The 27,336-nt window shown below is 39.6% G+C and overlaps 1 long non-coding RNA gene and 1 pseudogene across 4 annotated transcripts in view; both read left to right on the top strand.

The window, feature by feature from the left end:
• The window catches only part of LOC124900335 (uncharacterized), a 42,489-nt gene extending 16,026 nt beyond the window's left edge, over positions 1-26,463 (top strand). Inside the window, exons 2-7 of one of the 4 annotated variants that reach the window (XR_007063709.1) lie at positions 358-542; positions 8,001-8,173; positions 16,838-16,915; positions 19,250-19,307; positions 23,281-23,450; positions 25,968-26,463. This is a non-coding gene — a long non-coding RNA (uncharacterized LOC124900335). The remainder of the gene's footprint in view (positions 1-357; positions 543-8,000; positions 8,174-16,837; positions 16,916-19,249; positions 19,308-23,280; positions 23,451-25,967) is intronic. The other 3 variants (XR_007063708.1, XR_007063707.1, XR_007063706.1) reach the window with 3 other exon arrangements.
• Positions 355-26,353, top strand: PSPC1P1 (paraspeckle component 1 pseudogene 1; annotated as a pseudogene).
• Positions 26,464-27,336: the final 873 nt, after the last annotated feature.

Genomic DNA, 27,336 nt, shown 5'->3' with positions numbered 1-27,336 from the left:
TAAAAACATCTGATCCAGACAGTTAATTCATATGTTCCAGACTTTCCTTTGTAAAATATTTCATTGACTGAAAACCAGAAAATGAAACCTCCCAAAGCAGAAATTTTGCAGGTAATAATTAGGAGAATGCAGGTTGTAGCATCAGATTGTGTAAGTTTGAATTATTGTTCCATTATTAGTTGAACATTCTTGGGCAGTTCTTAAACTCAGGCCTGTAATCACAATATTGTCACGAGGTAATTCATGTAGACACGGTGTCTCACACGGTGTCTTGGACATTGTAAGTGCTTGTTGTTCTCATTTGTTGTTGTTTTACCTTTTAAGCATACATTTCTGTATGTTTTAATGTTAATTTAGGGAAAGAGAACAACCACCACGTTTTGCTCAACCTGGGACGTATGCATCTCGATGGAAGGCTCTTGAAGAAATGGAAAAGCAGCAGCGTGAGCAGGTTGATAGAAACATCAGAGAAGCCAAAGAGAAACTGGAGGCAGAAATGGAAGCAGCTAGGCATGAACACCAATTAATGCTAATGAGGCAAGGTAAACATGGATTTTCATGTACATGTGGTATGATTTTTTTTTTCCTTAAGTGTATGTACCATTCACGTACTACTGTGTAAAGTGCCATTTAGGAGTTTAGAGACAAAGTTGGAACCCAACATATTAGGTGTGAAAATCTCCCTTTTCCCAGATAACTTACCTTAAAAAAAAACACAACTTATTAAAAGTTAGTTTTACTTGCCGGGCATGGTGGCTCACGTCCATAATCCCGGCACTTTGGGAGGCCAAGGCAGGTGGATCACCTGAGCTCGGGAGTTCGAGACAAGCCTGACCAACATGGGGAAACCCCATCTCTACTAAAAATACAAAATTAGCCAGGCATGGCGGTGTGCACCTGTAATCCCAGCTAGTTGGAGGCTGAGGCAGGAGAATCTCTTGAACCTGGGAGGTGGAGGTTGTGGCGAGCTGAGATCGTGTCATTGCACTCCAGCCTGGGCAACAAGAGCAAAACTCTGTCTCAAAAAAAAAAAATAGTTTTACTTATGCAAGTAGTATTGTTGGAGGTAATTTGAGGATATTAAATTGTGCCAGTACCAAATACATGATTCTCTTGGCAAACAGAAACATAGTGGGTGAATTTTGGTAGGTAGACATGGCACATACAGGAATTTTTATTTGATGAGAAGAAGAATTTGGACAAATGCTGGCTATTTAAGATTATTATTACATGTTTGAAAGAGTACAGATGGATAATCTTGTAGAGAAGAAAAAGATTCATGGGAGACTCATATGGGGATTTAGGGAAAGTTAGTAATTGGCAAGAATATATACATATATATATATACATATATATGTGTGTGTGTGTGTGTGTGTATATATATATTTTTTGAGGTGGAGTCTTGCTCTGTTGCCCAGGCTGGAGTGTAATGGTGTGATATCGTTTCACTGCAACCTCTGCCTCCTGGGCTCAAGCAATTCTCCTGCCTCAGTCTCCTAAGTAGCTGGGATTACAGGCACACACCACAATGCCCGGCTAATTTTTTTGTATTTACCTTCTCTCGGCTGTCCCCAGAGATCAAGGTACCACAGCTGCCTGCCTGAGTTTCTGCAGCAGCATTCCTGCTGAACATTTCTGCCATCTAATCTTGGCTTTCTTTAAACCGTTCTGTGTACTAGATTCAGTATTTTTCTTAGCAGGTGAAAATTTGATCATTCTTCTCTAAATCCTTTTGGGTAAATTCTCACTTACTTTAGAATGAAGTGTAGGTTTTTTTGGTATGTGTGTTCTAGTATTTCGTACATCACTATTCAGTAAACGTTTATTGAGCACTTATGATGAAGTCATTGAGTAACTGTGCTGATGCCACATACGTTAAAACAAAATCGAGCCCAGCAAACCATGGAAACTAGTTAGGTGTTTTGGTTTAATTTGGGCCCTAAGCTTGGTAGTTCTATAAGTTCACTCTTCTAACAAAATTGAACTCATTTATATCTTATAGTAGATTTAAAGATAAACTGTCATTAGCTGGCTGTGGTGGCAGGTGCCTGTAATACCAGCTACTTGGGAGGCTGAGGCAGAGAAATACTAGAACCCAGGAGGTGGAGGTTGCAGTGAGCCGAGATCACGCCACTGAACTCCAGCCTGGGCGAGAGAGCGAGACTCCATTTCAAAAAAAAAAAAAAAAAGATAAACTGTCTTTTATTTTGTGGAAAATTTGCAAGTTGTTATTTGAGATAAAGGTACTGAATCATTCATTAGTTGTTAGAGCTGGAAGAGAGACTTTTTTTTTTTGGACAAAATCTCACTCTGTCGCCCAGACTGGAGTACACTGGTGTGATCTTAGCTCACTGCAACCTCCACCTCCGGGGTTCAAGTGATCCTCCTGCCTCAGCCTCCTAAGTGGGTGGGATTACAAGTGTGTGCCTCCACACTTGGCTAATTTTTTGTATTTTTAGTAGAGATGGGGTTTTACCATGTTGGCCAGGTTGCTCTTGAACTCCTGACCTCAGGTGATCCACCCACCTCGGCCTCCCAAAGTGCTGGGATTGCAGGCATGAGCCACCGTGCCTGGCCAGTTTTTTTGTATTTTTAGTAGAGATGGGATTTCTCCATGTTGGCCAAGCTGGTCTTGAACTCCTAGCCTCGAGTGATCTACCCACCTTGGCCTCCCATAGTGCTGGGATTACAGATATGAGCCACCGTGCCCAGCCAAGAGATCTTAGAGTTTGTCCAGCCCAGTGGTTTTGAAATTTTATTACCCATTAGAATCATCTTGGAAATTTTTGAAATTTCGTTTCCTGGGCTCTGTGGTTGCCCTAGCCCTTCTGTTCAATATGAATTGTTTTCTCTTAGCCTGCTAGGCACTTCTCTGCCATTTTGTTTCCCACCTACCTACAGTTGTGCCCTAGTTAGATAATAATGTTGATTAGATGTGGAAGCATCTGTACTAAAGATTTGTGTTGATGCTACGAACAGTGGTATAACATTCACTAATTTAGCACATCTTTAATGTCAGTTATGGGAGACACATCTGAGGTACTGAGGATATATTGATGGCAAAGAACATTTCCTTAGACTTCAGTTTTTTCTTGAGCTCTTAGAAAACTTTGCCTGAAGGTATTTTGATGTTTGAAGTAGAGTAATTTTGCAGAGTTATTTCCCCTGAGTTTAAGTTTTGTTGTTTATCGTGTGTGTTCATTTAAAGTCTCTGTTAACAATATCTTAGTTTATAATATTAGAAAATCACATTGCCTATTGCATCCTACTCCCTGCTTCTGGGTTCACTTGTGCCGAAGTACTTGTACTTATTTGATCCAAAGTCTGCAATTGGTAAATTTCAGTTGTAGTTTGTTTAAAAATTTAAAAAGTTACAACTTCCTCCCATTTGTTCTACGGTTTCATATTTCTTTTTTTTTTCTTTTTTGAGACAGACTCTGTCTGTCGCCCAAGCTGGAGTGCAGTGGTACAACCTCAGCTCACTGTAACCTACCTTCTGCTTTTTTGCAGGAATCACTCTTCTGTATTTTAAGTCTCTTTTGTATCCTTTAATGAAAAAAAATTTGCATATGTTATTAGATGTTTGTGTGTATTTGTAAGCAAAAAAAAACAAAATTCATAACGAAAAAACAAACTGGCTGGGCACAGTGGCTCATGCCTGTAATTCTAGCACTTTGGGAAGCTGAGGTGGGAGGATTGCTTGAGTCCAGCAGTTCAAGACTAACCTCAGCAACATAGTGAGACCCCATCTCTACCAAAAGTACAGAAATTAGCTGGGCATGGTGGCATGTGTCTGTAGTTGCAGCTACTTGGGAAGGCTTAGGAGGGAGGATCACTTGAGCCTGGGAGCTTGAGGCTGTAGTGAGCTGTAATTATGCCACTGTATTCCAGCCTGGGTGACAGAACGAGACTCTGTCTCCAAAAATAAAGCTGTTTACCTTTTCTGTAACTTTTTTACTTTCTACATGAATATATATGTAAATATCCACCTTATATTTTTAATGGCTGTATGATTTTCTTTTATATGGGTATAATTAGTTTAGTTCATCCTCTTTCGATAACAATTTCTCTTTTCAGTTTGTTTTTAAAAGCAGTGCTGCAAAGAATATATATGCATGTATCAGAAAATTTTTGTAAATTTTTTTTTTTTTCGAGACAGAGTCTCGCTCTGTCGCCCAGGCTGGAGTGCAGTGGCACGATCTCCGCTCACTGCAACCTCCACCTCCTGGGTTCAAGCGATTCTCCTGCTTCAGCCTCCTGAGTAGCTGGGATTACAGGCATGCGCCACCATGCCTGGCTAATTTTGTATTTTAGTAGAGATGGGGTTTCTCCACGTTGGTCAGGCTGGTCTCGAACTCCTGACCTCAAGTGATCTGCCCACCTCAGCCTCCCAAAGTGTTGGGGTTACAGGCATGAGCCACCACACCCAGCCGTAAATGTTGATTCTTATTGAACACACGGGTACCTTATAATAATAATTCTTTCATTTATACTTTACTGATAGTTATTTAGTCCTTTCTAGATTCAAATCCCATTACATTAAAAAAATTTTTTTTTTTTTGAGATGGAGTCTCACTCTGTTGCCCAGGCTGGTGTTCAGTGGCACAATCTCAGCTCACTACAACCTCCGGCTCCCGGGTTCAAGTGATTCTCCTCCCTCAGGCATGAGCCACCATACCTGGCTAATTTTTGTATTTTTAGTAGAGACGGGGCTTCGCCATGTTGGCCAGGCTGGTCTCAAACTCCAGGCCTCAAGTGATCTGCCCGTCTCAGCCTCCCAAAGTGCCAGGATTACAGGCATGAGCCACTGCACCTGGCTCCCATTACATTTTTTTTTTTAACTTTTATTTATTTAGAGATGGAGTCTCTCTCTGTTGCCCAGGCTGGAGTGCAGTGGTGCAATCTCGGCTTACTGCAACCTCTGCCTCTGCGTTTGAAGTGATTCTCCTGCCTCAGCCTCCTGAGTAGCTGGTATTACAGGTGCGCACCACCACGCTTGGCTACTTTTTGTATTAGTAGTAGAAACGATATTTCTCCATGTTGGTCAGGCTGATCTTGAACTCCTGACCTCGTGATCCGCCTGCATCAGGTGGATCCCTGAGCACTCCCAAAGTGCTAGGATTACTCCCAAAGTGCTAGGATTACAGGTGTGAGCTACTTGGGAAGCCGAGGCAGGAGAATCGCTTGAAACAGGGAGTCGGAAGTTGCTGTGAGCGGAGATCGCACCACCGCACTCCAGCCTGACGGCAGAGCGAGACTCCATCTGGAAAAACAACAACAAAAAAAAAACAAACAAAACAAATATGTTGCTCTGAGCCCTTCTTAAAGAAATCAACAGAGGATAAACATCACACAAGTGAACAACAGAACAGTCATGCCTGAACCTACTTGATATACTAAGATTTAAATACATATGAGGTTTATGATTAAAGAATATTAATGCAGACGGGAGATTGAGACCATCCTGGCTAACATGGTGAAACCCCATCTCTATTAAAAATACAAAAAATTAGCTGGGCCTGGTGGCACATGCCTGTAGTCCCAGCTACTCAGGAGGCTGAGGCAGGAGAATTGCTTGAACCCAGAAGGTGGAGGTTGCAGTGAGCCAAGATCACGCCACTGCACTCCAGCCAGGGCGACAGAGCAAGACTCCATCTCAAAAAAAAAAAAATTAATTCAGTGTCATAAATCCAGACAGATCAGAGGTAAAATAAAAACTGAAAGAAAAATAAAGAGACTAGTATTTTTAGAAAATAGAATTGTTAGATCAGAACTTATACATTCAGTTTTCATGACTTGTGCAATTTTAAATTGAGAAAACACTGTCTCACAGTCTAGCAAATCAAAATTTTAGTTCGTTTATATTCCTTTTTTCTGTACCTGTATTTATGATACATTGAAATTATAGCATATAATTTCATGTAATTTTATCATTAAATGTGTTAGGACAGCATTTTAATTAATTAATTAATTAATTTGAGACAGTCTTACTCGTCAACCAGGCTGGATTGCGTTGGCGCAATCTCTGCTCACTGCAACCTCTGCCTCCCAGGTTCAAGTGATTCTTCTGCCTCAGCCTCCTTGAGTAGCTGGGACTACAGGCGTGTGCCACCATGCCCGGCTTATTTTTGTAGTTTTAGTAGAGACAGTGTTTTGCCATGTTGGCCAGGCCGGTCTCAAACTCCTGACCTCAAGTGATCCACCCACCTCGGCCTCCCAAAGTGCTGGGATTACTTTCAGAGGCCGAGGCAGCCTCCCACTTTGGTAAGTCACTGTGCCCAGCCAGGAAAGCATTTCAAAGTGTTATTTGATTTAGTAAGTAATAAGTAATACTGTAGATGATGGCTTCATGTCTGTAGATGGCTTTGTTTTATTTTGTTAAGAAAAATTCCTGAGTGTAATTTCCTGGATCAAAAGATAAAGACATCTCTAGTTATGTACTTTTTACAGTTTTTTTCCCTTACAAAGATGTTATCATGGCAGTGTACAGATGTATAAGCTTTAGTGAAATTTCAGGAACTTTGGGTATTAGAAACTTTAAAAAATTTATAATTTAGTGAGCATAAAATGGTAGTTTTAAGTCTATAGTTCTTTTAAGTATTAGCTAATTGTGCTTATTTGATAATTTCATTGTTGGAGCCTTTGAGCTAATTATACCAATGTTACAGGTAAGGTGATAAGATCTGAGAGGTTAAAAGCCTGTCAGTCCTGGCTGTTTGGGAGACTGAGGTGGGAGGATCTCTTGAGCCCAGAAGGTTGAGGCTGTAGTGAGCTACCATCATGCCACTCTACTCCAGCCTAGGTGCCAGAGTGAGACCCTGTCTCTGAGAGGGGAAAAAAAAGGTATTTAAGTAATTGTTTTTTGTGGTTTTTTTTTGAGACAGAGTTTTGCTCTTGTTTCCCAGGCTGGAGTGCAATGGTGTGATCTCGGCTCACTGCAACCTCTGCCTCCCGGGTTCAAGCGATTCTCCCACCTAAGCCTCCTGAGTAGCTGGGATTACAGTCATGCGCTACCACACCCAGCTAATTTTTGTGTTTTTAGTAGAGACGGGGTTTCTCCATGTTGGTCAGGCTGGCCTCGAACTCCCGACCTCAGGTGATCCACCTGCCTTGGCCTCCCAAAATGCTGGGATTACAGCTGTGAGGCACCACACCTGGCCCTAATATTTGTATTTTTTGTAGACAGGGTTTCACCGTGTTACTTAGGCTGGTCTCGAACTCCTCAGCTGAAGTGATCTGCCTGCCTTGGCTTACTGAAGTGCTGGGATTGCAGGCACAAGCCAGCCTCTTTAATTTCTTGACATAAAGATGAATTTTTATTTATTTATTTATTTTTTGAAATGGAGTCAACTCACTCTGTTGCATTTGCTCTGTTGCATTTTATTTTAGAGACAGTCCTGCTATGCAACCCACTCTGTTGCCCACCTGGGCCTCCCAAACTGTTGGGATTATAGGCATGAGCCACCACGCCCAGCCAAGAGGAGTTTATTACACTTTTTTTCCCCAACAAGAATGAACTTGTTTTTGAGATGGAGTCTTGCTCTGTCATTCAGGCTGGAGTGCAGTGGCACAATCTCGACTCACTGCATCCTCCACCTCCCGAGTTCAAGTGATTCTCCTACCTCAGCCTTCTGAGTAGCTGGGACTGCAGGCACACACCACCATGCCCAGCTAATTTTTGTAGTTTTGGTGGAGTTGGGGTTTTGCCTTGTTGGCCAGACTGGTCTCAAACTCCTGGCCTCAAGTGATCCACCTGCCTTGGCCTCTCAAAGTATTGGGATTACAGGCATGGGCCACCGCACCTGGCCAAGAATGAACTTGAATACTCTTTTTTATATACATGAAGAAACGTGCTCAGAAAGGATATTTATTTGATTAATTACCCAGCTTACAATTTATTATAAAATGAGTAATATACCAATATATTGCCAGTGACAGAGAACTTCTATGCTTATTGGTATAAAAATATGGAAAGGGAAACTAAAAATATTACTGTGTAGTCATTATTTTGTAGATCTAATGAGGCATCAAGAAGAACTCAGATGCTTGGAAGAACTCAGAAATCAAGAGTTGCAGAGGGTGGAGCCAAGATGGCCGAATAGGAACAGCTCCATTCTACAGCTCCCAGCATGAGCGACGCAGAAGATGAATGATTTCTGCATTTCCAACTGAGGTACCGGATTCATCTCACTGGGGATTGTCAGACAGTGGGTGCAGGACAGTGGGTGCAGCGCATCAAGCATGAGCTGAAGCAGGGCGAGGCATTGCCTCACCTGGGAAGCACAAGGGGTCAGGGAATTCCCTATCCTAGCCAAGGAGAGGGGTGACAGACGGCACCTGGAAAATCGGGTCACTCCCACCCTAATACTGCGCTTTTCCGACGGTCTTAGCAAATGGCACACCAGGAGATTATATTCCCCACCTGGCTCGGAGGGTCCTACGCCCACGGAGCCTCGCTCATTGCTAGCACAGCAGTCTGAGATCAAACTGCAAGGCAGCTGCGAGTCTCGGGGAGGGGCGCCCATGAACGCCGAGGCTCGAGTAGGTAAACAAAGCGGCTGGGAAATTCGAACTGGGTGGAGCCCACTGCAGCTCAAGGAGGCCTGCCTGCCTCTGTAGACTCCACCTCTGGGGGCAGGGCATAGCCAAGCAAAAGGCAGCAGAAACCTCTGCAGACTTAAATGTCCCTGTCTGACAGCTTTGAAGAGAGCAGTGGTTCTCCCAGCACGCAGCTTGAGATCTGAGAATGGACAGACTGCCTCCTCAAGTGGGTCCCTGACCCCCGAGTAGCCTAACTGGGAGGCACTCCCCAGTAGGGGCAGACTGACACCTCACACGGCCAGGTTCTCCTCTCAGACAAAACTTTCAGAGGAACGATCAGGCAGCAACATTTGCTGTGCACCAATATCCGCTGTTCTGCAGCTTCTGCTGCTGATACCCAGGCAAACAGGGTCTGGAGTGGACCTCCAGCAAACTCCAACAGACCTGCAGCTGAGGGTCCTGAATGTTAGAAGGAAAACTAACAAACAGAAAGGACATCCACACCAAAACCCCATCTGTATGTCACCATCATCAAAGACCAAAGGTAGATAAAACCACAAAGATGGGGAAAAAACAGAGCAGAAAAACTGAAAATTCTAAAAATCAGAGTGCCTCTCTTCCTCCAAAGGAATGCAGCTCCTCACCAGCAATGGAACAAAGCTGGATGGAGAATGACTTTGACGAGTTGAGAGAAGAAGGCTTCAGACGATCAAATTACTCTGAGCTAAAGGAAGAAGTTTGAACCCATGGCAAAGAAGTTAAAAACCTTAAAAAAAGATTAGACGAATGGCTAACTAGAATAACCAATGCAGAGAAGTCCTTAAAGGACCTGATGGAGCTGAAAACCAAGGCACGAGAACTATGTGATGAATGCACAAGCCTCAGTAGCCGAATCGATCAACTGGAAGAAAGGATATCAGTGATGGAAGATCAAATGAATGAAATGAAGCAAGAAGAGAAGTTTAGAGAAAAAATAATAGAAAGAAATGAACAAAGCCTCCAAGAAATATGGGACTATGTGAAAAGGGCAAATCTATGTCGGATTGGTGTACCTGAAAATGATGGGGAGAATGGAACCAAGTTGGAAAACACTCTGCAGGATATTATCCAGGAGAACTTCCCCAATCTAGCAAGGCAGGCCAACATTCAGATTCAGGAAATACAGAGAACTCCACAAAGATACTCTTCGAGAAGAGCAATTCCAATACACATAATTGTCAGATTCACCAAAGTTGAAATGAAGGAAAAAATGTTAAGGGCAGCCAGAGAGAAAGGTCAGGTTACCCACAAAGGGAAGCCCATAAGACTAACAGCTGATCCTCTTGGGAGAAACTCTACAAGCCAGAAGAGAGTGGGGGCCAAAATTCAACATCCTTAAAGAAAAGAATTTTCAACCCAGAATTTCATATCCAGCCAAACTAAGCTTCATAAGTGAAGGAGAAATAAAATACTTTACAGACAAGCAAATGCTGAGAGATTTTGTCACCACCAGGCCTGCCCTAAAAGAGCTCCTGAAGGAAGCACTAAACATGGAAAGGAACAACTGGTATCAGCCACTGCAAAAACATGCCAAATTGTAAAGACCATCGAGGCAAGGAAGAAATTGCATCAGCTAAAGAGCAAAATAACCAGCTAACATCATAATGACAGGATCAAATTCACACATAACAATATTAACCTTAAACGTAAATGGGCTAAATGCTCCAATTAAAAGACACAGACTGGCAAATTAGATAAAAAGTCAAGACCCATCAGTATGCTGTATTCAGGAAACTCATCTCACTTGCAGAGACACACATAGGCTCAAAATAAAGGGATGGAGGAAGATCTACCAAGCAAATGGAAAACAAAAAAAGGCAGGGGTTGCAATCCTAGTCTCTGATAAAACAGACTTTAAACCAACAAAGATCAAAAGAGACAAAGAAGGCCATTACATAATGGTAAAGGGATCAATTCAACAAGAAGAGCTAACTATCCTAAAAATATATGCACCCAATACAGGAGCACCCAGATTCATAAAGCAAGTCCTTAGAGACCTACAAAGAGACTTAGACTCCCACACAATAATAATGGGAGACTTTAACACCCCACTGTCAACATTAGACAGATCAACGAGACAGAAAGTTAACAAGGATATCCAGGAATTGAACTCAGCTCTGCACCAGGCAGACCTAATAGAGATGTACAGAACTCTCCACCCCAAATCAACAGAATATACATATTTTTCAGCACCACACCACACCTATTGCAATATTGACCACATAGTTGGAAGTAAAGCACTCCTCAGCAAAGGTAAAAGAACAGAAATTTGACAAACTGTCTCTCAGACCACAGTGCAATCAAACTAGAACTCAGGATTAAGAAACTCGAGGTCAGAGGAGCCAAGATGGCCGAATAGGAACAGCTCCAGTCTACAGCTCCCAGCGTGAGTGAAGCAGAAGACAGGTGATTTCTGCATTTCCATCTGAGGTACCGGGTTCATCTCACTAGGGAGTGCCAGACAGTGGGCACAGGTCAGTGAGTGCAGCGCACCGTGCGTGAGCCGAAGCAGGGTGAGGCATTGCCTCACTCGGGAAGCACAAGGGGTCAGGGAGTTCCCTTTCCTAGTCAAAAAAAGGGATGACAGACGGCACCTGGAAAATTGGGTCACTCCCACCCTAATACTGCGCTTTTCCGACAGGCTTAAAAAACAGCACACCGGCAGATTATATCCCGCACCTGGCTCGGAGGGTCCTATGCCCACCGAGTCTTGCTGATTGCTAGCACAGCAGTCTGAGATCAAACTGCAAGGCAGCAGCGAGGCTGGGGGAGGGGCGCCCGCCATTGCCCAGGCTCGCTTAGGTAAACAAAGCAGCCGGGAAGCTCGAACTGGGTGGAGCCCACCACAGCTCAAGGAGGCCTGCCTGCCTCTGTAGGCTCCACCTCTGGGGGCAGGGCACAGACAAACAAAAAGACAGCAGTAACCTCTGCAGACTTAAATGTTCCTGTCTGACAGCTTTGAAGAGAGCAGTGCTTCTCCCAGCACACAGCTGGAGATCTGAGAACGGGCAGACTGCCTCCTCAAGTGGGTCCCTGACCCCTGACCCCCAAGCAGCCTAACTGGGAGGCACCCCCCCAGTAGGGGCAGACTGACACCTCACACGGCCGGGTACTCCTCTGAGACAAAACTTCCAGAGGAACAATCAGACAGCAGCATTCGCGGTTCACAAAAATCCGCTGTTCTGCAGCCACTGCTGCTGATACCCAGGCAAACATGGTCTGGAGTGAACCTCTAGCAAACTCCAACCAACCTGCAGCTGAGGGTCCTGTCTGTTAGAAGGAAAACTAACAAACAGAAAGGACATCCACACCAAAAACCCATCTGTACATCACCATCATCAAAGACCAAAAGTAGATAAAACCACAAAGATGGGGAAAAAACAGAGCAGAAAACTGGAAACTCTAAAAAGCAGAGCACCTCTCCTCCTCCAAAGGAATGCAGTTCTTCACCAGCAACAGAACAAAGCTGGACGGAGAATGACGAGTTGAGAGAAGAAGGCTTCAGACAATCAAACTACTCCGAGCTACAGGAGGAAATTCAAACCGAAGGCAAGGAAGTTAAAAACTTTGAAAAAAATTTACACGAATGTATAACTAGAATAACCAATACAGAGAAGTGCTTAAAGGAGCTGATGGAGTTGAAAGCCAAGGCTCGAGAGCTACGTGAAGAATGCAGAAGCCTCAGGAGCCGATGCAATCAACTGGAAGAAAGGATATCAGTGATGGAAGATCAAATGAATGAAATGAAGTGAGAAGAGAAGTTTAGAGAAAAAAGAATAAAAAGAAACGAACAAAGCCTCCAACAAATATGGGACAATGTGAAAAGACCAAACCTACATCTGATTGGTGTACCTGAAAGTGACAGGGAGAATGGAACCAAGTTGGAAAACACTCTGCAGGATATTATCCAGGAGAACTTCCCCAATCTAGCAAGGCAGGCCAACGTTCAGATTCAGGAAATACAGAGAACGCCACAAAGATACTCCTCGAGAAGAGCAACTGCAAGACACATAATTGTCAGATTCACCAAAGTTGAAATGAAGGAAAAAATGTTAAGGGCAGCCAGAGAGAAAGGTCAGGTTATCCACAAAGGGAAGCCCATCAGACTAACAGCTGATCTCTCGGCAGAAACTTTACAAGCCAGAAGAGAGTGGGGGCCAATATTCAACATTCTTAAAGAGAAGAATTTTCAACCCAGAATTTCATATCCAGCCAAACTAAGCTTCATAAGTGAAGGAGAAATAAAATACTTTACAGACAAGCAAATGCTGAGAGATTTTGTCACCACCAGGCCTGCCCTAAAAGAGCTCCTGAAGGAAGCGCTAAACATGGAAAGGAACAACCAGTACCAGCCACTGCAAAATCATGCCAAATTGTAAAGACCATCGAGGCTAGGAAGAAACTGCATCAACTAACGAGCAAAATAACCAGCTAACATCATAATGACAGGATCAAATTCACACATAACAATATTAATTTTAAATGTAAATGGACTAAATGCTCCAATTAAAAGACACAGACTGGCAAATTGGATAAAAAGTCAAGACCCATCAGTGTGCTGTATTCGGGAAACCCATCTGACATGCAGAGACACACATAGGCTCAAAATAAAAGGATGGAGGAAGATCTACCAAGCAAATGGAAAACAAAAAAAGGTAGAGGTTGCAATCCTAGTCTCTGATAAAACAGACTTTAAACCAACAAAGACCAAAAGAGACAAAGAAGGCCATTACATAATGGTAAAGGGATCAATTCAACAAGAAGAGCTAACTATCCTAAATATATATGCACCCAATACAGGAGCACCCAGATTCATAAAGCAAGTCCTGAGTGACCTACAAAGAGACTTAGACTCCCACACAATAATGATGGGACAATTTAACACCCCACTGTCAACATTAGACAGATCAACGAGACAGAAGGTTAACAAGGATACCCAGGAATTGAACTCAGCTCTGCACCAAGCGGACCTAATAGACATCTACAGAACTCTCCACCCCAAATCAACAGAATATACATTTTTTTCAGCACCACACCACACCTATTCCAAAATTGACCACATAGTTGGAAGTAAAGCTCTCCTCAGCAAATGTAAAAGAACAGAAATTATAACAAACTGTCTCTCTGACCACAGTGCAATCAAACTAGAACTCAGGATTAAGAAGCTCACTCAAAACCGCTCAACTACATGGAAACTGAACAACCTGCTCCTGAATGACTACTGGGTATATAACGAAATGAAGGCAGAAATAAAGATGTTCTTTGAAACCAACGAGAACAAAGACACAACATACCAGAATCTCTGGGACACATTCAAAGCAGTGTGTAGAGGGAAATTTATAGCACTAAATGCCCACAAGAGAAAGCAGGAAAGATCCAAAATTGACACCCTAACATCACAATTAAAATAACTAGAAAAGCAAGAGCAAACACATTCAAAAGCTAGCAGAAGGCAAGAAATAACTAAAATCAGAGCAGAGCTGAAGGAAATAGAGACACAAAAAACCCTTCAAAAAATTAATGAATCCAGGAGCTGGTTTTTTGAAAGGATCAACAAAATTGATAGACTGCTAGCAAGACTAATAAAGAAGAAAAGAGAGAAGAATCAAATAGATGCAATAAAAAATGATAAAGGGGATATCACCACCGATCCCACACAAATACAAACTACCATCAGAGAATACTACAAACACCTCTATGCAGATAAACCAGAAAATCTAGAAGAAATGGATAAATTCCTCGACACATACACCCTCCCAAGACTAAACCAGGAAGAAATTGAATCTCTGAATAGACCAATAACAGGCTCCGAAATTGTGGTAATAATCAATAGCTTACCAATCAAAAAGAGTCCAGGACCAGAGGGATTCACAGCCGAATTCTACCAGAGGTACAAGGAGGAATTGGTACCATTCCTTTTGAAACTATTCCAGTCAATAGAAAAAGAGGGAATCCTCTCTAACTCATTTTATGAGGCCAGCATCATCCTGATACCAAAGCCGGGCAGAGACACAACCAAAAAAGAGTATTTTAGACCAATATCCTTGATGAACATTGATGCAAAAATCCTCAATACAATACTGGCAAACCGAATCCAGCAGCACATCAAAAAGCTTATCCACCATGATCAAGTGGGCTTCATCCCTGGGATGCAAGGCTGGTTCAATATACGCAAATCAATAAATGTCATCCAGCATATAAACAGAGCCAAAGACAAAAACCACAGAATTATCTCAATAGATGCAGAAAAGGCCTTTGACAAAATTCAACAACCCTTCATGCTAAAAACTCTCAATAAATTAGGTATTGATGGGACATATCTCAAAATAATAAGAGCTATCTATGACAAACCCACAGCCAATATCATACTGAATGGGCAAAAATTTTAGGTTTTAAAAGCACCTCTTCAGAGTGAGTTTACACCTGACAATTGAAACTGGTAATCTTGAAAATGCTCTCAGGTGTATGCATTACAAATAAAATTCTTAGGAGCAGTGTCGTGTGCCCTGTAGTACCAGCTACTTGGGAGGCTGAGGTGGGAGGATCAATTGAGCTCAGGAATTCGAGGCCAGCTTGGGCAACATAGTGAGAGGCCCATCTCTCTCTCTTTTTTTTTTTTTTTTTTGAGACAGAATCTCACTCTGTCGCTGAGGCTGGAGTGCAGTGGCGCAATCTTGGCTCACTGCAAGCTCCACTTCCCGGGTTCACGCCATTCTCCTGCCTCAGCCTCCCGAGTAGCTGGGACTACAGGTGCCTGCCACTGTGCCCGGCTAATTTTTTTGTATGTTTAGTAGTGATGGGGTTTCACTGTGTTAGCCAGGATGGTTTTGATCTCCTGACCTCGTGATCCTCCCGCCTCGGCCTCCTGAAGTGCTGGGATTGTAGGCATGAGCCACCGTGCCCGACCAAGGCCCGTCTCTTAAAATCTCAGCCGAATAGAAGCTTCTTTAACAATTAATTTGTGTAAAATACTTATTTCCTTCTGTCCCTTGATGTGTGCTAGATTGTGTTTACATTTAAATGATCTTCAGTTAGAAAGCCACCCTATGTATTAAAAAACAGCCATTAATTTTGCTACACATTCAGTTGAATTTGACAGTAATATCAGAGCAATCTATTCACTCAATTACCTGACCGAGGCTTTCAAAATACATTGTTGAATGTATTTGGTTTAAGAGGCACATGTCAAGTTAATGAACACAGTAAGTTTCCCTACTTCTATTTGTCATTGCCTCCATTTCTGATTTAGTATTTAACAAGTAACAACTACTTTTTGTTTCTTGACTAAACCTTGCAGTATAAATTAAGATGTAATTAGCTGGGTGCGGTGGCATGATTGTAGTTCCAGCTACTAGGGAGCCTGAGGCAGGAGGATCCATTGAGCCCAGTGAGTATAAGTCCAGCCTGGGCAACATAGTGAGACTCGTCTTTATTATTATTATTTTTAATGTAATTGATTATTCAAAAGGATTCATTTTAAAGTTTCAATATTTTAGTAGCCTTTTTCAAAAGAGCTTTAGGTCCACAGCAAGATTGTGTGGAAGGTACAGAGATTTCCCGTCTACCCTGTGCCACATGCCTACAGCTTCTCCTGCTATCAAAATGTTTTACCAGAATGATACACTTATAACAATTGCTGAAGCTACATTGACACGTGCTTATCAACCAAAGTCTATAGTTTACCTTTAGATTTGCTCTGGGTGTACATTCTGAGGGTTTTGACAAATCTATGACATGAACCTATGATTATAGTATCATACAGAGTATTTTCACCTCCTTAAAAATCTTCTGTGCTCTGCTTCTTTATCCCTTCCACCTAACCCTTGGCAACCACTGATCCTTCTATCGTCTCCATAGTTTAGTTTTTTCCAGAATGTCATATAGTTGGAATCATATAGTATACAGCCTCTTCAGACTGGCTTCTAGTCACCTGGCAATATGCATTTAAATTTCCTCTATGTCTTTTCATGGGTTGATAGCTCATTTCTTTTTAGCACTGAATAATATTTTGGTTGTACCACAGTTCACCCATTCATATACTAAAGGACATCTTAGTTGCTTCCAGGTTTTAGCAATTATGAATCAAGCTGCTATAAACATTCATGTGTAGGTTTTTGTGTAGACATAAGTTTGCACCTCCTTGGGGTAAAATGCAAAGAGTGATATTGCTGTATCAGATGGTAAGAGTATGTTTAATTTTATCAGAAACTGCCAGACTGTCTTGCAAAATGGTTACACCTGTTTGTATTCCCTTCAGCAATACGTTGAAGTTCTTGTTGTATCGCATCTTGGCCAGCATTTGTTTTTGTCGGTGTTTCGGATCGTCACCATTCTAGTAGGTTTTGTAGTGCTGTCTCGTTTTAATTTGCAGTTCCGTCAATGTAATTTGCAATTCTATCAATGGCATACAATGTAAAGTTTCATTTTAACAATCATGTAACTGAGGAATATTTTCCCAGATATTCATGGGTGAAGATATTTAGGAATGCATGTATTGAGGGGAGAAAACCCGCCTTTGGGTATATATATACATATAAAGAGATTGTCTTATATTTTTTAAACTACCCCTCACTAACTAGCAGTGAATAACACAGTATATTGGAAATTGTTGTTTTTAATTCCCGGAATTTAAAAAGTTAAGCTTTCCAAGCACTCACTTTTGGTTAGGTTGGAAAGTTTACATGCTATTGAGTTGTATCAATAGAAATGTATTTTTTGTTCCTTTTCAGTTCAAAACTTTAAAAAATTTTTTGGAGTGAGGTCTCATTTTGTCACCCAGGCTGGAGCGCAGGGATGCAATCATAGGTTACCGTACCTCTAATTCCAGACCTCAATGGATCCTCCTGTGTTGGTCCCCCAAAACCCTGAGATTACAGGCACTGGACATCATGCCTGACCCTTATTTATTTATTTATTTATTTATTTATTTATTTTGAGATGGAGTCTTGCTCTGTCACCCAGGCTGGAGTGTAGTGGGTTGATCTGGGCTCACTGCAGCCTCCACCTTCTGGGTTCAAGCCATTCTCCTGCCTCAGCCTCCCGAGTAGCTGGGACTACAGGCGCCTGCCACCATGCCCGGCTAATTTTTTTTGTTTTTAATAGAGACACGGTTTCACCATGTTGACTAGGCTGGTCTTAAACTCCTGATTATGCTTATAATCCCAGCACATTGCGAGCGTGAGGCAGGAGGATTGCTTGAGCCCAGGAGTTAGATACCAGCCTGGTTGACATAGCAAGACCCTATCTCTACAAAAAAATAATGAAAAAATTTACCAGGCATGATGGTGCATGCTTGTCATCCCATCTATTCGGGAAGCTGAGGCAGGAGGATCACTTGAGCCCAGGAGTTTGAGATTGCAGTGAGCTATGATGACAACACTGCACTGCAGCCAGGGCAACAGAGTGAGGATCTCTGAAAAAAAATTTTTTTTAAGAAGCTTTAAAAAGATTGATATCATGTGAGAAAGCATTTTCTCTCTTCATGATGGTGTTTTTGTTGTACCGTAGCTTCATTCATTGTACCGTAGCTTCATTAAGATTACCTTTGGACATCTCCATTTAAGTTAGACAGGCAGGTTTTCTTTTAAGGAGCCACTTGTGGCTTAATGGCAATTACGTTTCCATCATAGGCTTTTATTTTCTTTATTTCCAGCTTTATAGATGCTCTTCAACAGTCTTTTGTATTATAAAATGGAACTTTAAATGAACATTTAGATTTTAATAAGATTGCTTTTCAGAAGTACAGTAATTATGCTTTCTTTAAACATTGCTGCATTTGTCTCATAATGGAATGTTTTTCATGATTGCTACATTTAACAGTTTTCTGTGATTGGAAATGGTCATCAAGTCAAAGTGAAAATTGCAATTTTCCTATGTTATCTTGAGAAATTTCACTTAGAGATTTCATTGAAGTTAATTCTATGTCACTATTGTTGGTAAATGAACAGCTTTTAGGAAGCAGTTTCTGAAATGAAATTTCAAATGTTCTGAATATTTCTGTTTTGTAGTGAACTGTGTAATACTTTTATTCAGGTTTTCAAATAAAATTATTGCGCAGTTAAAGGAAAGCAATGTTATGTCGAGCTTTCAGTAATTGCTTGTGTGGGCTATCTATAGTCCCTGGATGGAATAATGCTTGAGTAGATGAATACAAATACATGAATGAATTATAATATTTAGACAATGAAGATTGTAACCTTATTTTTAGCATAATTCCCTAAAGCTATTTGTGTTATATGTTCGAATACATTTCAATATGAACTTGGTAACAGTCATTTCTATTTTAAGACTTCAGTGACCTGGGAGGAGAAAATAATTGGCTCTGGTGGTTATCATTACTAGATTTTCCTTTGCTTGGAATCTAGGCATGTGTCTTTCATCTGTTGGAATAAAAACATTAAAAATAATTTGTGATATATTTTATATAATCTGATTCATTAGTAATCTAATCTTGCAATATAAACTGGGTGCATTAAGCATTTGTAGTATATTAAGCCTGGGAGACTGAAGTTTCTTTTCAGCGTTCTTATTAAGTTTATGATGATGGAAACTTTTCAAAATCTTTAATGGAAAATGATGTCCCAATTCACTCTTTTCTTTTTGATTTTAGATGGGAAATGTAAAGTCATAAGATCGATAGGTTGACTGTGACAACTATGTTTACTTACAGAGAGAACAGGAAATGAGAATGGGTGATATGGGTCCCTGTGGAGCAATAAACATGGGAGGTAGGGATTTGAAGCAAAAGGCTTTTGTAATTTATCATTTTTGGGGGGACTGTTTATGCTGTTTGTGGTATCTACATATCAGTAAGAAACTAAAATACGGAACCAACATTTCTAAAGGTGAAATCTCTTACATCCATTAAACTGGAATACAATACAATTATATTAAAAATATATGTCTGGGAAGAAAATTCTCATTTTGTTTTTGTTTGAAGGCTAAAAGATGTGTTATACATTCATAGGCTTAATGAAAGAAACATATAAACCAGGTTGCAATACAGCCTGAAGTTAGTTTAGTCATTGCATTGTGTAATACAGCTCTGTCTTTGCAGTTTTAAAATCAATTTATATGCCTTCTATTTGGCTTTTTTTTTTTTTTTTTTGAGGCAGGACCCCACTCTGTTGCCCAGGCTGGAGTACAGTGGCGCAATCTCGGCTTGCTGAAACCTCGACTTCCTGGGCTCAAGTGGTCCTTCCATCTTACCAAGTAGCGGGGACTACAGGCACGCGCCACCACACCTGGCTTATTTTTTGTATTTTTAGTAGAGACGGGATTTCACCTTGTTGCCCAGGCTGGTCTCGAACTCCTGGGTTGAACCACTTTGCCCGCATCAGCTTCCCAACGTGCTGATATTCCAGGCATGAGCCACCTCACATGTCCTAATTGGACACTGGAAATTGATAGTTTCTTAGTTGGAAATAGATTGTTTCTGAGTTGTGTTTTTAGGCTTTTAGAGAGCATTTTATACATTTCTATCTTAAACTAGCTTTTTGTGTAACTTTGAAGCTGTTTTCCTTCACTTTAATGAATATTGAGCTTTTTTCCTTTAACCTACAGTGTTGTGCACAGAAGCGCACTCAGTTTTGTAGACTATGACTCATTAAGGGAATTACATGTGTGTCGCCAGTGCATGTTTTAGAGTTGACTAAGCTTTTAAGAAAGCATATTAGCAACTTTAGTATGGATTTGCTCATATAGCCAAGTTGCAAGGGAAATAATGCCAAGTAAATAACCTGAAGGAAAAGCAAGTGTGGCATATCGTAGGCCTTACTAAATTTGAAATTTGAAATGTCATACATTTAAAAGTTGGGTAAGGAATTAAATTTTATGAAATTAATTGTCCCACAAAAGCTGTCCCACATTAAATTGTCCCACAAAAGTTGTTATGAAGCTGAAAATCTTTACATAACTTAAATGTACATATTGTTTTAAAGATTACACTACCATGGCAAACAATGTACTTAACATGCACACCCATTTACAAAATCAAGTGTGTTCTCAGCATATATAGTCTATCAAATGAAACTTAAGTCATGTGTGGAATAAACATTTTCCATGATCAGCTTTTTTTTTCTTAAACTTCTGTTGCCAGTTTTTCAATACTACTAATCAGATAATGTAGAGTCATATATTGCTGTTTACTTGGTCACTTTTTACCAACAAGTAGTTAGTGACTATCTCTGGTATATGTAGGAAGCAAGAAACATGGCCCTCGCCCATAAAGAACTTAATTGTGAAATTACTACAGTGGATACGTGAAATAATCAATGAACCAAGAGCATCTATGTTCTAAATTATGAAGCATAATTGAGTATAATGATGTCCAAGTGGTCCAATATTTATGTCTTTCTTTTAGAGTAAATGCTGGGATGCTATTTAATATAATCCATGTAATTTTAAGGATTTTAGGAATAAGGTTATTGTAGATTATAGGCAGTTTAAAAGGCCATTATCATTATTAGAGTGACATTAACATCAGAGCTAAACTTTAAAATAGTATAAAACTTAAAACCATTTCTGATGGTGCAGAGATACTCTGCAATTTTATCAGAAGAAATCTAAAAATATGCCTTTAGAGTCCTTATTTAGTTAGGAATTGAAGACAACTTAAAATTTTTGTGACATTTTATTCACCAGAGGATTTACTTAAATTTTAGCACTTAACTCTCCTAAAGCCCAGTTTATTTAATTTTCTCTTCAGTCTTCATTCAATGTGGGACTTCATCATACTGGTTTTGTAGAGCTATTAATCATTATCATCCAGTTGGGTTGTTGAGAAGTTAAAACTGTCATAACTCATCAAGTTACATTGATGGAAAGTGGCAGCAGATTTTCTGGTGTATCACTAGTGTGTATAGCCAAGCGAAACCTACATTATAATGCTACCTTTCTAGTAATCAGATAATGCTAACATTTCTTAGATCTTTAAATTTATTTATAGCTATGTGGTGGAAGATGTGAGTACTAAAAGTAAGGCTCTAAGTTAACTGCTGTTAGTTGGAAATATTATTTTTGATTTTTTATACCTATAGTTGTATAGTTATATTCTGAACCCACCATTGTAAAATTACATTCTATTAAAGAGAAAGAGAGGAAAAAGAAAACTTAATTTGTTTTCTAGGGGATAGTTGAGTTAAGACACATCTTAGATACTATTCTTATACTCTCTTCATTTCTAGAAAGTATTAAAAATAGCTATTTAGAGCTATAATGAGGGAGTGGAAAGACTCTTGGATAAAGTATATTTATTGGCAAGAGCATTTTGGGATGAAGGAAATAATTCCTTCCTATGAATTTGCTAGGTTTCTGGGGATTGGATTCAAAGAGCAGAAGTATGATGCCAGGGGCTGGTAGGGACTCAGCCATGTAGAGATTTTAGCTGCATTATAATGTATATTTGAGAAATTGAGGTCTTATTGTCAGAAAATTGACCTATGTAATGAAATACTAGAATAAAATCCTAAATTAGAATGGCTTTGTCGTGAATTTTTAATGATAAACAAGTACTAACACTTAAAAGGGAAAAAATTTTTCAAAGAAAATACCTAAAAATGTGTTGCATTTGAGATCATCATATATGTAGTATTAGAGCACAAACACTATTAAAATTAATATGAGGTAGGTGGATTTTTTAATGAAAAAACTTGAAATATTATCAGATTGTCCCCATTTATGGAATTTAAGCTTGTCAGAAAGATCCAGATAGCTATATTAATGTTTTATCTGTATTTGGTTGCAGTTGCTTTAAAAAATAAGTTCTGTTATAAGTCATTTTAATTTTTTTGTTTAGATTCCATATTTCAATATAAAAAGTTAAGAAAAGAGTACCTCATGTAATTTAGCAAGGTATTCCATAAACTCAGGGAGGAAAAACAAAAAACTAAGATGAGAGGCTAGTTATAATGATCTTTATTTATATATTGCAGGAAATGATTTCCTCTCTGGAAACTTAGCATAATTTACTGCTAATATTTTTAGCCATGGCTTAAAAAAAATTAAGTGGTTTTGTAAGTGCTAATCCTTTGTTACTCATTTAAACTATAAAATGTAGTCCCCAGTGTTAGGGATTATTTGGTTTAAAAGCCTACTGTAGGCCAGGCGCGGTGGCTAACGCCTGTAATCCCAGCACTTTGGGAGGCCGAGGCCAGCAGATCAAAAGGTCAGGAGATCGAGACCAGCCTGACTAACACGGTGAAACCCCGTCTCTACTAAAAAGAGAAAAAAAATTAGCCGGACGTAGTGGCGGGCGCCTGTAGTCCCAGCTACTCGGGAGGCTGAGGCAGGAGAATGGCGTGAACCGGCAAGGCGGAGTTTGCAGTGACCGGAGATCGCGCCACTGCACTCCAGCCTGGGTGACAGAGCAAGACTCTGTCTCAAAAAAAAAAAAAAAAAAAAAGTCTAGTATAACAAATAATAGTGATGTCTCAAAGCTTGCAAACTGTTACAGTCTCAAATGCTCTAAAATAATTGATAGTTTCCTCCTTGATTTTATGTACGTTTGGCTTGGGGATGAAAATTCTAATTCTAGAGTGTAGGTAATGCCCTATTACAGAGTAGATAACGCATATCCCATTCTTAAGGAGCGAAAATAATTTTGATAACGGTCTTGGTATATAGATTGCATAAATATTGTTAAATTGTTAATGTTTACTAAACTAAGATAGGACAGCTCTAAGTATAGATTGTTTTACATAGATGCGTTTAGCCCAGCCCCTGCTGGTAACCAAGGTCCTCCTCCAATGACGGGTATGAATATGAACAACAGAGCAACTATACCTGGCCCACCAATGGGTCCTGGTCCTGCCATGGGACCAGAAGGAGCCGCAAATATGGGAACTCCAATGATGCCAGATAATGGAGCAGTGGTAATGTATCATAAACATTGTTTTGATTATATTCAGTAATGTACACTTCTGCATCAAGGATAACTTCACACTTAATATAATTTGGTATCATTTGTTTTGGCAGCCAATGAAGAAGAAAATTTTGTGACCTCATATGTTGATTTATTAGAGATAGTTTTTTTGTTTTTGTTTTTGTTTTTCTTTCAGATGGAGTCTCGCGCTGTCACCCAGGCTGGTATGCAGTGGCGCAATCTCGGCTTGCTGCAACCTCTGCCTCCAAGGTTCAAGCAACTCTCCTGCCTCAGCCTCTGGAGGAGTTGGGGCTACAGGCGTGCGCCACCACGCCAGGCTAATTTTTGTATTTTTAGTAGAGACAGGGTTTCACTATGTTGGCCAGGCTGGTCTCAAACTCCTGACCTGGTGTTCCACCCGCCTCAGGCTCCCAAAGTGCTGGGATTACAGGCGTGAGCCACCGCGTCCAGCTGAGATAGTTTTTAAGTAGTCCAAGAATTAGGATTACTGTCTGTGGCATGCTGTGGTACCTCAGTATATAGCAAATGCATATGTTAATTACAGTTATTTTTCTGTGCTTTTTAATTTGTTTCCATCTTTTACCAGCATTCTAATGTTCAAGCATTTTATGATGGTGTTCTTTTCCTGTGTGGACTCCTTATATTTGATGGGGACAAAAGTCCAATATGTATGAACACACAGTTTTCAGTAAATATTTTTGATAAAAATATTACCTGTCATGATTTATTGCAAATAATTTAGCTATAAATTAACATTAAAGTGTTTGTGTATTTCCAAACCACCATTGTGGCATTCTTTTCACAGATTTTAAATTATATTTAGTAAATTTAAAGTAGACAGTTTTTTATCTTGATCTGAGAGTGTGAAGATATCTTTGTGTGGATTAAATACTATGAAAACAAGGTTTTTGTTTTAATTTTTATTATATTTAAATATATTAGTAGCAAGAATGATACCTTTTTATCATTTCCATTAAAGTCTATCACTATATAAATCGAACTTTATATAGGCAAACAGTTTTCTCATTTAGTGTTTGTTAATGCTTGTTCTAAATAACATTTTGAAAGGGAAATTGTTTGGTTATCTATTTTGAAAAGGCAGTTTAGTTTTGAAACTACTATATGAAATCTTGAGGCGCCAATGCTGCCAAGAAAGAAAGAAAGCACTGCCTGTTAGACTCAGACCTGTCATCAGTTGTAAATCCATCGTGATCAGAGGCATTAAAAGCAATGCATTGTATGTCTTAGAGTTGAATGCAGCATTTATCATTATTTTATTTGCTTCAAATGTAGTCTTTTAAGAATTTGGAGAAATTGGACATGCTGGCAGTTGGATTTTTTAAAATGATAGTTTATACAGGGAGATAAGGAGGCAGTGCACGGCTACTATGAACAGATGGCGCTTAACACAGTGATTGCATTTATTTCCTTCAGTAGAGGTTTTATTTTATAGTGATATGTTTGAAAGCTAGTAAAAACTTATACTACTTTGGTTAAGTTTTTGTGTGGCATATAATCATCAATAGAAACATAGAAGTAACATTAACTGTCCCATTTTTTTATTGTCTCCCTGAAATTGTAAACTTTATTTAAATATCACCCTTGGTCTGTTTTACACTGACATTTTACTGCTACACTTCAGGGAGTTCTATCCAACCTTTCAGATTAATATGTATGATTATTGTGAAGTTTTTCAAAACATTTAATTCAGATATTTAATTGTGCTTATTAGTGCATGTTATTACATTAATTTTTAAAACTTTTCCCATGATAATCTTTCAAGGAAAACACTCTCAGAAGTTTCCATACTGAAATCATAATTCTTTGTGTATGTTTGTATTAGTGCTTTCTATCTTCAAGGAATTGATGTAAAGATTTTTTTTTTAGAATGTTTACTTCTAAAAAACCGAATTGATGCTGCTCCCCAGCTTTATTTCTCTGATTTTTTTAAAAAAGTATTTTTCTTACAAAAAATTAGCCGGACGTGGTGGCAGGCGCCTGTAGTCCCAGCTACTCAGGAGGCTGAGGCAGGAGAATGGCATGAACCCGGAAGGTGGAGCTTGCAGTGAGCCGAGATTGCACCACTGCACTCCAGCCTGGGCGACAGAGCGAGACTCCGTCCCCCCCCAAAAAAAAAAAAGTATTTTTCTTACGTAGCATAGTTTCATGCAATACAAACTTTTGAAAAAAGGAATCAGAGATGTATTATAATATTGTTTAGGCTTAAGATTACATTTGCTTCTGTCACGAAATCAGTTCTTTGTTCTTGAAATTGGGGCATAGCATTAGCAATATGTAAATCTTCAGATGCTGCATTTTTTTAAAAAAACATAGTAACTAATTAAATTGCTCCTTTCTTCCTTCTATGTGTGATCCTGATTCTGCTGGGCTTTCTGCCGAACTTCATGACACCACCACTTGGGATTTTGCCAATTTTTCTTGTCACTTATATTTGGCGTGTTCCAAATGGACTTCATATTCTATTCCTTATTGTGTGGTATCATAGCACAATGACAGATTTCCTCAAGGACCACCATCTCAGATGGGTTCACCTATGGGGAGTAGAACAGGTTCTGAAACCCCTCAAGCACCAATGAGTGGCGTAGGTCCTGTGAGTGGTGGTCCTGGTGGCTTTGGTAGAGGAAGTCAAGGGGGCAACTTTGAAGGCCCTAATAAGCGTCGTAGATATTAAACATTCGTTCATTCCTGGCTATCCAGAAAAAAAAAGTCAGTGGTATGCCTTTATACTTTTACCTGTTATCTGGAAGAAATGGTTTTATTGTTAATGTATGTAGACTTAAAAGTTTTTTTTTTTTGTAAAACTTGAGGTTTTTGTATTTTTCTTTATTCATGAGCTTTGTAGATTAGAATGGTAATGATGCTCATCATTTTGAATGTTGAAATGTGTTTGTGACTTTAGCTAAATATAAGTATTCCATAGTACTGTGAAATCTATGTAGTTACTTAATCTCAATAAAGAAATCATTTTGGATAATTTAAAACGGTTATTAGTGGTATTCTCTTACGGTCTTACTAAACTTTGCTGTAACAGTAATGCTTTGGTTGCTTTAACTAATCCTATCATTAAAAATGAAAATGATTTTGCTTTTTAATTTGCGCAAGTAGCACTAAAGATAGAAGCTTAATTAATGAAAGCTAATGTCAATAAGGGGTAGATAGAGTAGTATATGTGGGGGTGGGAGGGTATGGGAGTTTAATTTGTATAAACCACTGATGTTCTGTGAAATCAGAATTTCCAGCTACATTTCATATAGATTCTGAATATTCAGGTATTCTGAGACAGATTATTAAGGATATCTTTGTCCTGTGCTGATTTTTCCAAATAAATCTTTTTCATCTTGAAAAAAACTGTTTGAAGGCAAATCTCTTTTGCTTATAAAAAATAATTTCTAGTATTAAACATATCTGCCATTATTTATTTGGTTTCAATATCTAGACCTTACCCAATTATTATCATACAGTTAGTGTTAAACATTCTTTAAAATAAAACAATACTGTTGGGTTGGATGTTAAGTGAAGATTTGTTGTGTGATTTGTGGTGAATTAGGCATTTCTTGAGATTGTAGGTTTCTAGAAGTATTAAAAGATGGCTTGACTCTGCATTGTTGTAAATATTTCCCCAAAGTTTGGACATTTCTCCAGTAAAACTTGTCTGATGGGTTAGGACCATTTGTCTTCAAGGAATGGGGGTGGTTTTTTTTTTATTGTTTGTTTTTTTTTTTTTTTTCAAGATAATGCTGAGACATCCAAGGAGTACAGTTCAAGAGGTGATTTTAAAAAGCAGATAATTACTTGAGAATGGCTAGAGTCATTGGAATCTGATTAGCTCCCTTTACTATCAAATACCTATTTTG

Source organism: Homo sapiens, chromosome 13 (assembly GCF_000001405.40).
Source record: "Homo sapiens chromosome 13, GRCh38.p14 Primary Assembly".
In the NCBI taxonomy this organism is placed as follows: Eukaryota; Metazoa; Chordata; class Mammalia; order Primates; family Hominidae; genus Homo; species Homo sapiens.
The sequence above is the reverse complement of the archived record's forward strand: the minus strand, read 5'-3'. Positions and strand labels throughout refer to the sequence as shown.